The sequence below is a fragment of the Homo sapiens genome, chromosome 15 (genome assembly GCF_000001405.40).
Source record: "Homo sapiens chromosome 15, GRCh38.p14 Primary Assembly".
NCBI classification, from domain to species: Eukaryota; Metazoa; Chordata; class Mammalia; order Primates; family Hominidae; genus Homo; species Homo sapiens.
This window is the reverse complement of record NC_000015.10, coordinates 66,159,420-66,174,712: the sequence shown is the minus strand read 5'-3', so window position 1 is coordinate 66,174,712 and position 15,293 is coordinate 66,159,420. Positions and strand designations below refer to the sequence as shown.

Here is a 15,293-nt window from a genome sequence, read left to right as displayed (position 1 = left end):
TCTTCCAACAGCTGAGATAGCCCCACAGGTGGGGCTGGGCTGGGCTTCTTCCCTGTGGCTCTATTTCAGGAAGGGCATTATGGGGTTGGGATCATCTAGAATGCAGTACCAGGATTAAAGGCCACTGCTTCTCCTTCTCCCTGGAAAAATGCAGAGTTATATCACTTACAGCACTAAAGCTCATCTGATCCAACCAACCCCACATGTTACAGGAGAGGCCAGGAGGCAAGAAGGGCTAAGCGGCAGGGTTGAGAGAGGATCCAGGTCTCCTGATCCCCAGCCCAGAGGTTTCCCCTACACCATGCCTCAATTCACCGGGGTGAGTTTCTCTTGATTAAGTCTCGGGCACATGCTTAATTCCCCTCTTGGGAGGGATGGAGATAGGGCTGTTACCAGAGGTTTATAATAGAACAGCCCCACCTCCATCTCTCTGCAGCCCCTTTCTGATCTCTGGCCTTATCCTTCCCTTTGGGGAGGCTTTCTGGGTGATAGCCTATTCCATCTCAAGATGACCATGGAAATAGGATTTGCTGATGACTTTTAGGCTTGGGCCAGGTATATATGGACTTGGCAGTTTTCGTGGGTTCTCAATCCCTGTGAAATAATTGAGACCAGGCCAGAATGAAGTGTCAAGTGTGGACCACAAAGTGGTGAGCAGACAACCCATCACCAGGTGCCTTGAAACACAGGGAGAGGATTCTGCCTCAGGAGACAGAGGACATATGGGAGCATGTCTCAGGCTATAGAGGAAGGCAGGGTCGGCCCCTCTGAGGACTGTTCTGGAGCAGAGGCACTTGACCATCCAAGAGAATATTGACTTGAGCTGCCAGGATGGGCTGTTGATTTGTGGCAAACTGTCCAAGGGTGGTCTCTGCAGGAAGCAGGTGGTCAGGGCCTTTTCCCTGCAGTGAATGACTCCTGTGATGGTAGAGGGTGAGTTGGACCCTTCGTGAACAGCTCGCAGGGCTCGGAGTTGTCCCTGTCGACCTCACTGGTCTCCTTCCTGGGGAGGGGAGGGGTAATGGTGGAGGGAGGCAGTTCACAGCTATAGGAGAAACTCCAGTAGAAGTTTATTGACTAAATAATCACCTTCTGTTGGCTGGGTGTGGTGGTTCACACCTGTAATGCCACACTTTGGGAGATTAAGGCAAGTGGATCACCTGAGGTCAGGAGTTTGAGACCAGCCTGGCCAACATGGTGAAACCCCATCTCTACTAAAAATACAGAAAATTAGTAGGGCATGGTGGCGGGCACCTGTAATCCCAGCTATTCAGGAGGCTGAGGCAGGAGAATCGCTTGAAACCGGGAGGAGGAAGTTGCAGCGAGCCAAGGTCGCACCACTGTACTCCAGCCTGGGCCACAAGAGCGAGACTCCATCTCAAAATAAATAAAAATTAAAAAAAAATTGCCTTCTGTCATGAAGGACTTATGTAAAAAAGAGAGGCTTTGGGTGGAAACTTGGACCCCAGATCTATTGGTTTGGTTGGGGTTTGCTTGTGGTAGAGATGGTCTAGGGTTTGGCATTTTCAATAGGTGCACTGTTGCCTGAGGGGACAAATACAAAGACCATAAGAAAGGGTGCTCCAGGCTACAGAGCCACTGAAAGACGGATGTCCCCGACATCTGGAACGTGCTGTGGAGGAGGGCGTTTGAGGTGCATCAACACTGCTGTCTCTGGGCAGGCACAGGTTCTTTGAGCCCTGATAGCACCTTGAACACTCCCCTCCCAGGGTAGCCCATATACAAAGAGATGCATACTGCGGTCAGGAGGGACAGAAAAGGGACGCGGAAAAGTCAGGCTGGTGAAGTCTCATTAGACAGAGTCAAAAGACTGGAGTTTTGGAGCCAGCCCTGCTGTGACTGCGTGTGACCTAGGGCAAGCTGCAGTCCTGTCTGAGCCTGTTTCCTCATTGGTAAAATGAGAGGTATTGGTCAGGGTTCCCGTAGGGTTCCAGTAGGAGACAGATGGCACAGTAAAGCTGGGTAATTTGATGGGAGCTGAATAAAGGGACTTTTACAAAGGTGTGGCAGAGTATGGGGGAAACACAGGGTGGTGCAGCCCCTGGAGTGGGTGACAGTGGGACTGCTGGGGCCTCAGACCTGAAGGGGTGAGGGAAGGGAGCATTAGGAGAGAGGGGGGATCACCTGATGGGAGCTGTGATCTTCATGACACAGGCAGCCTGTGGTAGCCCTGCGGGGAAAGCCCAGTCCAGTAAACACCCAGCCTCACGCCCCTCCCTCCGATCTGCTGCTGCTCCTCATTGGCTGAATGCAAGTAGAAGCAGAGGGCAAGGCTGCCGGTTGATGCTGTCCACACAGCTCTGCCCACCAGGCCACGGAGCAGGCAGGGCCGTGAATGTGAGGGGTGAGTGGACAATACCCAGCCCACGAGGCAATGGACTAGGTAGCCTTCCAGCTCCTGGAGGGAGGCAGGGTGAGAGGAGACATTTTTTGATTCCTGCTGATGTCTTGGGTCTCCACTCTTGCAAGACAGTGCCTCCCCTGCCTGCCCTGTTAAAGGTGGTGGTCATTCTCCTGCCGAGCAAACTTCCGACTCCAGCCTAGTCCTGGAGGAGGCGGAGGACCATCTCCCTCACTGAGCCATCCACCGCCACCATCCGTCACTCTGCCAGCCGTGTGAAGTAATGATAGATTAGTGCACATTAGGCCTCCCATCCTGCAGGCCTAAAAGCCGGGGCTTTACCAATCAGTGTGGGGTGAAGCGGTGTGAGGTGAGCCAGGCTCTGCGCAGGGAGCTGGAGGCGCCGGGAATTAATAAGCACTTGGAGACGGCGGGGATATTGAACTCATTCCTTAAATCAATCCTTAACCAAGAAAGATGAGGGAATGAAATTTTGGACAATTAGTGGGTAATGATGACCTTGTGAAAAGAGCTGTTGACAAAGGGTGAAGCGGGGAGAGGGTGAGCGCTGGGGGTGGGGGGAACTGGAGGAAAATGCGCATGGTAGTGAGTCTGCAGGGCTGGGGGGACCCTCTCAGACAGGAGGGAGCGTTGCGTGGGGGTTCTTGCAGATCGGCTTTGGGGGAGCAGACAGGTGGGAGGAGTCCCCATGTGGTTTTAGAAAAAGAGACAAGGTCAGAAAAAGAGACAAGCTAGAGAGAGCCTCTGGAGACGTGCACAGGGTGACCCAGAATGCAGGTGTCCCTCCTCCTCCCACCTCTCCATTCCCTTCTTCAGGGACCCCCACCCATGTCCCCAGCCCCATGTAGGGTGAGGGACCAGCAGTCCTCTCTGTCCTTGGAATCTTAGAGTACTTGGAGCAAGGGGCGTTTTCATCATCCTCCGTCTGCTCCAGCATTCACAGGAGCAGGACCAGAATCTTAGAGGCAAGGGCCTTGCCCTGGCACCACTGGTGGGACCCTAGCTCTCCTCCCAGTCCCAGCTTCCCCGATTCTCTGTCTTTTTGACCGCCCCCGTGGTTGAGCAGATACCTGCCCCGGCCTGCAGGTCTGGCAGAAACATTGGTGTTCTCCTTCCCCTGGCAGGACATGGCATCCTGCATTGGTGCTGTGGTCACCGTGACTCCAACAAGAGCCACAGCAGCAACAGCGGCCTTCACCATGCAGGAGTCCTCTTCAGCAGCTTCTTCAAGCAGAGCTTGAGACAAGGCTCCAGGACCTGTGACTTCCTGGGGTGCTTTTCAGAAAGAAACCTGAAAGGGAGGGAGGGAGGCAGGGTGGGAAGAGGAAGGAGCTGAGCGAGGACATGGCGTCACATCCATCAAGTCCACCTTTGGTGGTCCCCCGGGGCAGGGCTTTGGAGCCTGAGCTGGACCTCCGAGTGGTGCCCTGGTGGGGAGTGAGCCAGCCTCTGGCATTAGGCAGTTACTGCCTGTGAGCTGTCAGGAAGGGGAATTGACCACCTCCTGGACAGGGGCTGCAGTCAGCTGAGGGCCGTGCTTGTGGGGAGGGAGGTGGGGATGGGGAGTGGGGGTCTTCAGCAGCCCACCTCACAGCAAATGGGGGAAGGGGCATCACAGTGTCCACTTCAAAGGCCCCCCTCCCATTCTATGAGGGATGACGACAATAATAAGAACCTCTTACACCTGTATAGAACATCACAAACTACTGGTTCCTTTCAAAAAATTATCTTACTCAACTCACTTGGCAAGAAGGATTTGATCTCCATTTTACAGACAGGACGCTGAAGCCCAGAGAGGTCACATGGCATGCCCTGATAGGCCAGGAAGCTGGGCCTGAACCCATCGCAGCTACTGAGTGGATTCAGCTCAGATTGTCCACCCTGTAGACTTCCCTGTAAGAGACTCTGCTGTCTTCATGGGAGAAAGAAATGGCCCCAAATAGAGCATGCTATGAGTGTCTTGCACACAGTTCCCCCACCCTACCCACCACCTGCTTAGCCAATCTCTTCTGCAAAACGCAAAATATCCAGAAGAGCTCTCCTCTCTGGAAACGCCCCTGGCAGGCTGAGCGGTGTCAGGAAGGAGGCACAGCTCACCACCCTGGCCTCCACAGGTGCTCTCCATCTGCCCCATCTCTCCTAACACGCACCCAGGTTCTGACTCAGGCCTTCCTCCTGTTGCTATTATTATTGTGATTATAGAGAAGAGGTTATTCTGTCTTTAGTGCAGTCTTTTTGGTAGAAAGATGAACAAAAGGAGCTACACTTAATTTAAAATGACAAGTTAGGTTTCATTCTGGAATTTTTTTTTTTTTCGGCAGACGGTCTCTTAGTAAATTACATCTGACACCCCAAAATAAATTGTGCAGAAGGACACTTTATGCAGTTTCTGTGGACTCATGGGGCCCAGTTCCTGGGATGGCAGGGTGAAGGGAGCTTGGAGAAGGACTGGCCAGTTGTACAAACTGTGTGTATGTGACCTGCCGGGATGGTCCGGCTGCCGCGGTGCTCCTGCTCCGCCTGCGGGTAGGAAGGAACCCAGCAGCGCTGGCCGTCTCACCCAACCACCCGGGGTCAAGAAGGAGCTATCCTGGTCTACGATGCCTTCTTCACAAGGATTAGCTGCAAAAAAGAAAATGAAACAAAATGGGGCAGGGAAGCTTTAGATAAGGAACCAAGGACGTGGCATCTTTGAAAGTTTTCCCAAAGGAGATGTCAGTGCTCGCTGAGACAGCCAGAATTTACTTTAGCTATTACTATGGATGAATAATTATGGGCAAGCCAGCAAGTATGCGGGTTCACCGCAGGTTAATTGGGAATAATGGGTTTCATTCCAAACCATGAGAAATGATATTTCAGAGAGAGAGAGAGAGAAACTGACTCTGTTCTCCCTCACTGAGTGTCAGGACCATCCCTTCCCTGCACATTTGGCTCTGCTGGTCCCGGCCAAGTCTCTCGAGTCTAGACATCTGGGCCTGGGCTTTTGTTGGGCAGACGGTGGAGGGTCGGAGGCTGGGGGCTGAAGCCAGGGAGATCAGGTGGCTCAATTGCATCATTTTCCCTTCTGAAATCAGACTGGGCAGCCTGGCGTTTAATCCTTCAGCGAATGTGTATTGAGTGGCTGCGTCAGGCAGGACGCTGCGGTCTGTGCACCTCCGTGAAACCACATGGTGCTGAACAGAAGCTGCCTGGGGTGATGGAGGCAGCATCGACCAGATAGTGCAGTCTAACAGAAATAAAATGCTAGCCCCACATGCGAGCACATGTGGGATTTTAAATCTTCCAGCAGCCACTTTAAAAAAGTAAAAAGAAACAGGTGACTTTTATTTTATTTTATTTTTTGAGTTGGAGTCTCACTCTGTCACCCAGGCTGGAGTGCAATGGCACGATCCTGGCTCACTGCAACCTCCACCTCCCGGGTTCAAGCAATTCTCCTGCCTCAGCCTCCCAAGTAGCTGGGATTACAGGCATGCGCCACCACGCCCGGCTAAATTTTGTATTTTTAGTAGAGATGAGATTTCACTATGTAGGCCAGGCTGATCTCAGGTCACCATGTTGAACTCCTGACCTCAGGTGATCCACCCACCTGGGCCTCCCAAAGTGCTGGGATTGCAGGCATAAGCCACCGAACCCAGCCTTATTTTAATAATGTATCTTCTTTAACCTGTTATATCCAAAATGGTATCAGATTATTCCTTCAACATGTGGCCTATATATGAAATTAATGAGATATTTGAAACAGCACATCTCAGTTTGGACTGGTGGCTTCCCTCCCCAGGTATTCTCCCTCTGCCCCATCTGTAAGTCACTGAGCTGTAAGTGCTCAGTAACTTACATCAAGTGCTCAGTAACCATATATGGCCAGTGGCCATCATGCTGGATGGTGCAGGAGCAGATCATCACTGATCTCACAACCACACACAACTGTGGGTGTTCTGCAGAGGAGAGGGTCACACAGTGTCCAGTGGGCAGGCCTGATAGTTGGGCAGGAGCTGGAGGGCATCAGAGGAATTACCATTTGATGCAGTCTGAAGGAGAGGCAGCAGTTACCAAGACAAGGGAGTTAAGGCAAAAACATTCCAGGCAGAGGGAAGTGCATGTGCAAAGGCCACATGGGGAGTTGAAGGCTGAGAAGGCCACGGTGGCTGGAATGTGGTGAGCAAGGAGAAGACGAGCTGGAGGTGAGGTTGCTCCATCAGGTAGGAGCTGGCGGGACTGGAATGCACCGTGAGCATTTTGGTTTGATAGGAGGAATCGCGTATAAGCAAGGGTTGATAGGATCAGATGTGGGTTTTCTGAAGCTCCCTCTGGCTGCTGGGAGGAGCCTGGCCTAGGAGAATGCAGGAGGCCCATCTTGGAGGCTGCTGCAGAATGCTGCCTGCCCAGCAGGGGTTCAGGGGGGAAAGGCTACATCCCCTGAGGCCAGGCCAGTGATGGCCTCTTCAGAGCTGCTGCCCCTTCCCCCCGGCCTCACAAAGTCTGAGAGGCACCAGCGTGGTTAAAACTTACCCATGTTTTGAGCAGATCAGTGCAGTTTGACCTGCCTGGAAGTTAGGGCTGTAGATGGAGATTTCAGCTCCAGTTCCTAGCTATGTAACCTCAGACAGATTTCACATTTCTTCTCTCTATCCATGGGCCTTCTTTTTTGTTTGTTTGTTTGTTTGTTTGTTTTGTTTGTTTGTTTGAGACGGAATTTCGCTCTCATTGCCCAGGCTGGAGTGCAATGGCGCAATCTCGGCTCACTGCAATCTCTGCCTCCCGGGTTCAAGCGATTCTCCTGCCTCAGCCTCCCCAGTAGCTGGGATTACAGGCCGGCGCCACCATGCCTGGCTAATTGTTTTTGTATTTTTAGTAGAGACGGAGTTTCTCCATGTTGGTCAGGCTGGTCTCAAACTCCCAACCTCAGGTGATCCGCCCGCCTCGGCCTCCCAAAGTGCTGGGATTACAGGTGTGAGCCACCGTGCCCAGCCATCCATGGGCCTTCTTTAGCTGTATAAAAATGAAGCAGCAGAAGGGCATGTGGACCAAGGGTTTCTGAAACGTCATGAGAGTAGGATGGAGTCTCCCTCTGGGTTGTCTTGGGGCACAACCTCTTCTGCCCCGGCTGGCCCTGGGCTTGGGCACTTTCTTTCTTTACCCCCAGGGTGGGAGCCATGGTCCATCACCCTGGGGCTGTTTGCCTTTATCAAGATGCCCAGCTCCATGGTGGCTCTGCCCACTGGAGCCATGTGTCTATGAAAGGCAGGGCTGTAAGTCAGCGTTCAGGTGAGGAGAGAGGATGCCCCTTGGAACTCTGCATCAACTATGACCTCAAGGGCCATGACCAAGCTGAGTGTGTCCAGGGGAGGAAGGATAGGAGCAGGGAACCTGAAAGGCACATCCTGAGGGGCAGTTTGGCCTGACTCTGCTGTGTTCTCCACCCTGTAGCTGTAAGAATCGAAACCTTTATTCACTTGTACTTTTATTTAGAAGATATTTATTTATCCAGGATTGCTGTGTGCCAGGTGGCGTGCCAGGGCCTGGGATGCCAAAGTGAGTGTAGACAGGGTCAGAGAGAGCATTTCAGAGACGATGACTTGAATGACAAGGCGGAGCCAGCCAGAGGCGGATCTGGGAAGAGAGCTTTCCAAGCAGAAAGGAAGTACATCAGAGGCCATGAGCTGGGAACGAGCTTGCTGGAGGAACAGACAGGAGGACCATCAGGCTGGAGCAAAGGGAACAAGGAGATGCAGCCAGGGAGGACACGAACCAGATCATGAAGGGCCTTTGGGCCTAGTGAGGAGTTTGGGTTTATCCCGGTTGTGAATGGAAGACACTGGGAGGTATTAAGCAGTGGAGCAGTGTGATCTGATTTATATCTTTAAAGCTCTCCCTGGCTGCTGAGTAGAGGGTAGACTGGAAGAGGGGAAGCAGGAGGCCAGTGGGGGTGCTCCTGGGGTGACAGATGCTGGTGCATGGATCAGAGTCTGAGCAGTGATGGGATTCTGGACGCATGTTGGAGGCAGAGCCAGCAGGATTTGCTGATGGACTAGATGTGGGGATGTGGGAAAGAGAGAGGAATCAGTGTGACTCCAGTAGCAGTATGAATGGTGGTGAGCTCCCCATGGCGGCAAACCCTGGGCGGGGAGAGCAAGGGGGCACAGAGTTCTATTTTGTTCCTGTTTAGTTTGAGAAGCTACCAGCCGTCCCAGGGAAGATGTCAAGTAGGCAGCTGGCGATATGGATCTGGAGCTCAGGGGTGAGGGCCCTGCTGATGTAACTATGGGCACCGTCTGATGACATTTAAAGCCCAGAGATGGATGAGATCACCCAGGGAGTGGGGGATATGTGTATAGCTGGAGGGGCTTTGTGACTTCCTCCTCCTGCTTTTCAGAGCTCAGCCACCCTGCCTGGCAGGGCTACCTGGCACCTGGAGCAGTTTTGCTGTGGGCACGGTCTGTCCTGGGTGCAGGAGTCCACCTCCATTCCTGAGTAGAGCTGAGCCTGGGCAAGGTGTCTCTGGCCTGGCAGGACTGGGACAGGGGACGGAGGGAGACCCTGCCTTTGGTCTTCACTTCCTTTCTTGTCATGGGGGCCTCTGAAGGGAGCTTGGAGCCATTCTTCCTGCCTTTTCCTTATAAGTCCCCCACCTGCCTGGGAGACAGGAGAAATGAGGGAGAGGAAAAAAGGTAGGAAATAGAGGAGAGAAGAAGAGACTGAGAGGGCAGAGGGAGGCGAGGCCCAAAAGGGGCTCCCCAGGGATCAGGAGGGGCCAGAAGACTTGGGGCGAGAGCTGGGGCAGGGCAGAGGTAATGAGAGAGGAAGGGGGAAAGAGAAGGACCGAGAGAGTTTTTAAAAAAGATGTTCCTTTCTCTCTTCTGTGCTGGTGGTGGTGACTAGTTCCCCAGAGCCCCTACTCTCCTGAGTAAAATGGTCTGAAGCTGTTTGACAAGGTCAGCTGCCCTGTGGACACCTGCTGTATATCAGGGACTTCATGTGTACTCTCTCCACTCTGCACCAACCCTGTGAGTCCGTGGCTTCACCTCCATTTCCCAGATGACAGACCTGATGCTTGGGGAGGTTTATAGTTTGCCCAGGGTCATGGGATTTTGGGGTGGTGGAAGCAGGATTCAAACCCGTGCCTGCCAGATGCCAAGTCCAGGCCCCTGTGCCATCCCACCTCACTTCTGGTTTATTTCCCTCAGCAGCTAAGCCCAGATTCCTGAAAAATTGTGAACTTTTGGAAAATACTGTTTCTAACGTGCTGTGAGGGGTTGGTCATAGGGGTTGCCCTAGTTTGAGAGATGAGCCCGGCTGTGCTCAGACAGGGAAATCTGCTGTCCGGGAGTCTCCCAGCCAGCTGCCGGCAGTCCTGCCACTGAAGTTTGCCTGTGCTCAGTTGTACCTCCTGCCCCTGAGCCCCCTCCCTGGTGGGGACAGCTGTTAGTAGCTGCAGTCACCTGCCTGGAACTGGCAAACAGATGGACCTGGGTTTCTGGGACAGTTCCAATTTCAAATGTTCTCTGGTTGTCAGACAAATGTACTGCTTTTTAGTTCAGAAATTATGGGGCACCTTATGCATGGCTATAAATCCTGTCAGCTCTAGTAGGTTCTGTCCCAGAAGGGAGTGGCCTCCAGAAAGGTAGCATGGTAATTTTTAAAGGCTGGCCAAGAATTGGGATTGGGGTCTGAGTGGATCCTGGAGGGGTCATATGTAGAAGAAGCTGTCCTCTGTCCAAAACTCCACGAGGCCCACAGGAGACATGCCAGACCTGGTGAGAAAGGTCCAGTGGGACAGGATTATTGTCCCCATTTTACAGGTGAGGAAAATAAAGCTCAGAGAAGTAATGCACTTGCCCAGGGTCCATGGCAAGTCAGGGATGAAGCTAGAACTTGGGCCCAGGTCTCCTAACTCTTGGTTTAATATTCTCTCCACTACCCTATTCTCAAGAAGAAAGACCTGTGATGTAGATCCAGCAGGCCCCTCACGTGCAGCGATCCAGGTTGTGTACTGCACAACTCCATTGGCACAGTGATGAGGTGAAAAGCACTCCAAGCTGTGCAGTGCAACAATTCTGAGTCCAGGGCAGCCTGGCCCTTCTCTGTCCATCCATTGAACTTCTGCCATCAGACCTCTCTGCCACTAATAGAAGATGGAGGAAAGGGGTGCACTTCCAGCCTCCAGAAACATGTGTGGTGGCTCCACCTCTGGTTTAGCTTCGTTCAGGCCACAATGGACCTCCACCCCACCCCACCCCTGCAAATCCAACAACCCTGCCCCCAGGTAGACAACCTTCTCTCATCTGCCCACTCAACACCATTTGCTTAGGGATGGGACTGGAAGGAGGGAGGTTTGGCGGCTTGGGTGAGAGGTGAGTTCAGAGGACAGCTACATTTAGGCCTGCTTCTTCCTCATTCTCTCTTGCCCTCCACCCACATCACTGGAATTAAAACGGTGGCACAAGCTCTTCTCGAATATGACGCATCTGTGCCTCGTGTGCATGCGGGGAGGATTTATAGGTGAGGCCCAGAGGACTGATCTTCACTCTGCTCCAGTGGCCAGGCTGCCACTGATTGATGCCCCGTGCACTGCACAGCCAGGACGGATCTTTTTATAGGCTCCGCCCGCCTTCCCATAACTCAGGAGGGAGGCTGTAAATCCTCAGGGGTGGCAGAACAATCCTCTATTAGGACAGCCACCTGGAGTTTCTGGCAGGTTCCTCTAGCCAGCTCCACATCTCATTGTCAAGGCAGCTGTGAGCTGAGGGGACATGCCCAGGATGGGGAGCCAGGACAGCTGGCCAGCTCAGAACTTCCAGGCGGGAAAGGGCCTATAAAGGTCACCTGGTGTGACAGATTTTCAGCCTGTGCCTTCCCTCTGCTGATGGAGAACTCACTATCTACCTGCCCAGTCCATCACTGGAGCGCTCCTCCACTTCAGTTCACAAGCCCTTTCTTCTCCCAAGCTGAAATCGGCCTTCCTAGGGTTTCCATCTTGTTTAGTCTCCTTGGAGCCAAATAGAAGGAGCCTAAAGATAGAGTAATGGTTATGTGCAACTTCTCTGCTAGCTTCAGAACCCAGCTCATTTAATTCTCACAAATCAGTTCTATAGAACAAAACATACTGTGGTGGCTGAATATTAAAGCAGGATGGAGCGAGCCCAGATGGGTGGACAGGAGCTCCAGATTCCCCCTCTGCCCTCTGTTTCCCAACATGGGTGTGGCGGTAACCGTAGACGTTGGGGGTTGCAGGCCTCAGCATCTGGGTCTCCACGTTCTCTTTGTTCTAGGCTTTGGTTGAATCTTGTGGCTTTCAAACTTCAGGGTATATGAGCAGTATGTTGCAGGATCGAATATACCTACATATACAAATCTCTGTGGGTGATTTAGGAGATTTGCCAGGGTGATTTTGACTATATGCAATGTTACCCTTTCGAGATGACTTTTGAACTTAACCTCCACCTGAGAAGTAATTCAATTAGATTTCTTTTTTTTCTCTCTCATTTCTTTTCCTCGAAAAAATTTTTTCTTACTTTTCCTTTCCTGTTGAGGTACAACTGATAAGCAGTAAAGTGCACAAGTGTTAAGTGTCCAGCTGGAGGAATCTTTACAGATAGATACACCTGTGTGGCCCCACCCAGACCAAGATACAGGACATTTTTATCATCCTAGAAGGCTACTTCGTGCCTTTGGCATCAATGCCCTCTCCCCTCCCAGAGGTAACTATTGTTTTTTTTGTTTTGTTTTGTTTTGTTTTTCTATCACCACAGATTACTTTTGCCTGTTCTTGAACTTCTCCCAATGGAATCATACAGTAAGCACTATTTTGTCTCTAGCATCTTGTGCTTGGCATAACGTCATTTTTGTTGTGGGAAGTTTCTTATTTTACAGTGCTGCATAATATTCCTAAAGCAACACAACACTACCCTATTTAAAGGCATTTAAATTGTGGGCCATTCTCTCTCTTTCTACAAGTCAAACTAATGTTTATATTGTGGTAAAATATACATCACATAAAATTTAACATTGGAGCCATTTTTAAGTGTGCAGTTTGGTGGCAGTAAGCACATTCACGTTGTTTCACGACCATCACTGCCATCGGGCCACTCTCTTTTTAAAAATTGCCTGATTGTCCCCAAGCTCCTCTTCTGGGCTCAGCCTGAACCTTACTTCTCAGGGTGGTTGGCCCTGATCCCATCTTTGCTCCCCAGCACTTGTTTGTCCCATATGGTGGCACTTATCACGCATGGTTCACTGTTTTTCATGTTGCTGGCAGCAAGTGTGTCATAGGATCAATTCCGTGGGCCTCAAATCATCTCAGAAAAATAGAAAATATTAGATTGGCTCCTCTGTAGTAGAGGTAAATATTGCTTTGTGGAGCTTTTGTTTCAGTTCCGCGTGTATATGCACACATGTATTTGTGGGTAGTGGGTCATGATGCAAAGCATACTTTTTATTGTGGGTTGTTTTCAAAGACTTGAAAGCCACTGGTGGTGTAACTGCTGGCTTGCTGCTCCGTGAGGGCACTTCTGTTTTCCCAGAACCATGGTTGGCACATAGTAGGTGCTCACTGAGTGCCTAGAAGCACAAGAATCAGTGTTTGTCCCTCTGAGTGCTCATCCTCACTTAAATCATATTCATTAAGAAGTTGGTGGTGGGTGGGTGCAGTGGCTCATGACTGTAATCCCCCAGCACTTTGGGAGGCCAAGGAGGGCAGATTGCCTGAGCTCAGGAGTTTGAGACCAGCCTGGACAACATGGTGAAACCCTGTCTCCACAAAAAACAAACAAACAAAAATTTAGCCAGGCATGGTGGTACACGCCTGTAGTCCCAGCCACTTAAGGGGCTGAGGTGGGAGGATCTCTTGAACCTGGGAGGTTGAGGCTGCAGTGAGCTGAGATCACACCACTGCACTCCAGCCTGGGTGATAGAGCAAGATCCTGTCTAAAAAAAAAGTGGAGATTATGTGACCAGCTTCTCAAGTGAACACATCCTTCTGCTGGTTTCCTGCCACAGGGTACTCCTGAGCTTCTTTCTTCACCCGTGTGGCTGCCTGTCTTTGCTGTGCTGTTGATCCCTTGGATGAGAAGCATAGCCCCTTACATTCATCGCTATTATGTTTCACCTCCTCCCACTCAGTACATTGCTCCGGCCTGTCAAGATTTTCTGAGATCCTCATCTGATCCCATCTGACTTCACGTATTCAAGGATCTTGTGAGCTTCTACTTTAGGTGTTTGTCCCAGTCTTTGAGAAAAAGTTGAAGAACCTAGGGCTGAGGGCTAAGGCTGTGACCTCATGTCACGAGCCACGGGCCTGCCTCCAGGGTGGCTTTGCTGTCCTCGTGGGCACACCTAGACTTCTCTTCCCTGCACCTGGGCACTCCTCCCCTGATCCCTGCATGGCTTCTCCCTCACCTACTTAGGCTCAGATTTCAGCTTCTCAGCAAGGTCCTCCAGGCCACTCTGTTTAAGCTGCCATCCTGCTTCTAGCTCTGGCATACTGGATTCCCTTCCCAGCTTTATTTTTCACCTTAGCACTTATCACCACATAACAGATACATCATTTACTTATTTATGTTCTTAATCACCTCTTCCTCCCTAGTAGAATAGAGCAGAAGGGCAGGAATAAATTCCTAGGGCAAGGGTGTGTGTGTGTGTGTGTGTGTGTGTGTGTGTGTGTGTGTGTCCCCTTAGGGCCTAGAGCAGTGCCTGGCATATAGTAGGCACTCAATAAATGCTTATTGAATGCATGAATGAATGACATTAGAAATTATATTCTACCTTACCCTCATGGATGTGATATCAGCACAGAGTTCAGCTGCAAGTCAGGAAAAGTAAAACCCACCAACTAGAGTATTTTAAACCAATGGGAGTATTTATTTCTCACATGGCAAGATATCTGGAGGTTGAGTGTCTGATGCTGGTGAAGTGGTTCCACGGTGTCACTGGGGAACTAGGCCTTTTATCTCCTTTGACTCTCCTGTTCTTTGCCTGTTGGCTTGTTACCTCATGATCACAAGGTGGCTGCTGCACCCTTAGGTATCACATCCACGTTCTAGGCAGAAAGCAGTGAGAGAGAGAGAGAGAGAGAGAGAGAGAGAGAGAGAGGGCTTTTCCTTGGGAGGCTTTGTCCTTTTGTTTAGGAAACAAAGCCCTTTCTAGCCTACTTCTCCCTCCCAGAATAGGAACATGTGCCCATCCTTACACCATGGCTACCCAAGGAGGATGAGCTTTCCAATCTTAACTCAGCCTTTGGGGCTGGTGCTGGCTCCTGGGGTGAAAGGGTCTCCATCTATCACATGGACAAATTGGAGTTCCATTAGCAAAGAAAAATGGGGAGAGGGAGCGACCACATCATAAGAGATATCAAAACCTTTCAGAAGATCTCTTATGCTGTTTCCTGCCTTTTCCTGATCTAGAAGAATCATGGTTACTCCAACTCACCTTGTCCACAGAGAGCTCATGTGGGTTGTGGTGACCGCTGCACCCTCTTCTAGGGCCTCACTGGTCTCCCTCAATTAACCCTTCGAGAATCCAGCCCAGGTGTGAGGTCCTGGCCATCCTTCCCACCAGGGCTCTCTCCCAGCTCCTCAGCATCCCCCTTCCCCAAAAGGTCCCCAGAAGGTACCACTGCACCAAGATCATGTCTCCAGGCCCCAGGTCTATCCTCATGGTCTGAAGTAAGTGCCATCGTGGCCCCTCTAGCACCAATGCTCATGACTGAATCTTGCCTTTCCCATCCTCCCACACGCTGTAGGTCACTGAGTGTCCTTCTGTGGCTGGGAATGGTGGTCTGGGTTATGCAGAGGGTGTGCCTAGAGTGACCACTATTGTGGGCCAAGTCAGGGTGCTGAAAAGCCTCAAAGGATTTCCTCTCCAATGTATAAAACGTTGGATTCCAAGCATCTTAAACAGCCCTAGACCCCAGGAC

The 15,293-nt window shown here is 51.3% G+C and overlaps 1 protein-coding gene across 14 annotated transcripts in view, besides 2 other annotated features; it reads left to right on the top strand.

Moving 5' to 3' along the window:
- The window catches only part of MEGF11 (multiple EGF like domains 11), a 358,452-nt gene that overhangs the window by 79,038 nt on the left and 264,121 nt on the right, over positions 1-15,293 (top strand). The window lies entirely within an intron of this gene.
- Positions 4,966-5,466: an enhancer, noted in NCBI's record as "H3K4me1 hESC enhancer chr15:66461585-66462085 (GRCh37/hg19 assembly coordinates)". NCBI's record gives its function as "activates a minimal SCP1, AML or CMV promoter by ChIP-STARR-seq in primed H9 embryonic stem cells {active_cell/tissue: H9 hESC(primed)}" and the evidence as "EXISTENCE:reporter gene assay evidence [ECO:0000049][PMID:30033119]".
- Positions 6,231-7,025: an enhancer, noted in NCBI's record as "H3K4me1 hESC enhancer chr15:66460026-66460820 (GRCh37/hg19 assembly coordinates)". NCBI's record gives its function as "activates a minimal SCP1, AML or CMV promoter by ChIP-STARR-seq in primed H9 embryonic stem cells {active_cell/tissue: H9 hESC(primed)}" and the evidence as "EXISTENCE:reporter gene assay evidence [ECO:0000049][PMID:30033119]".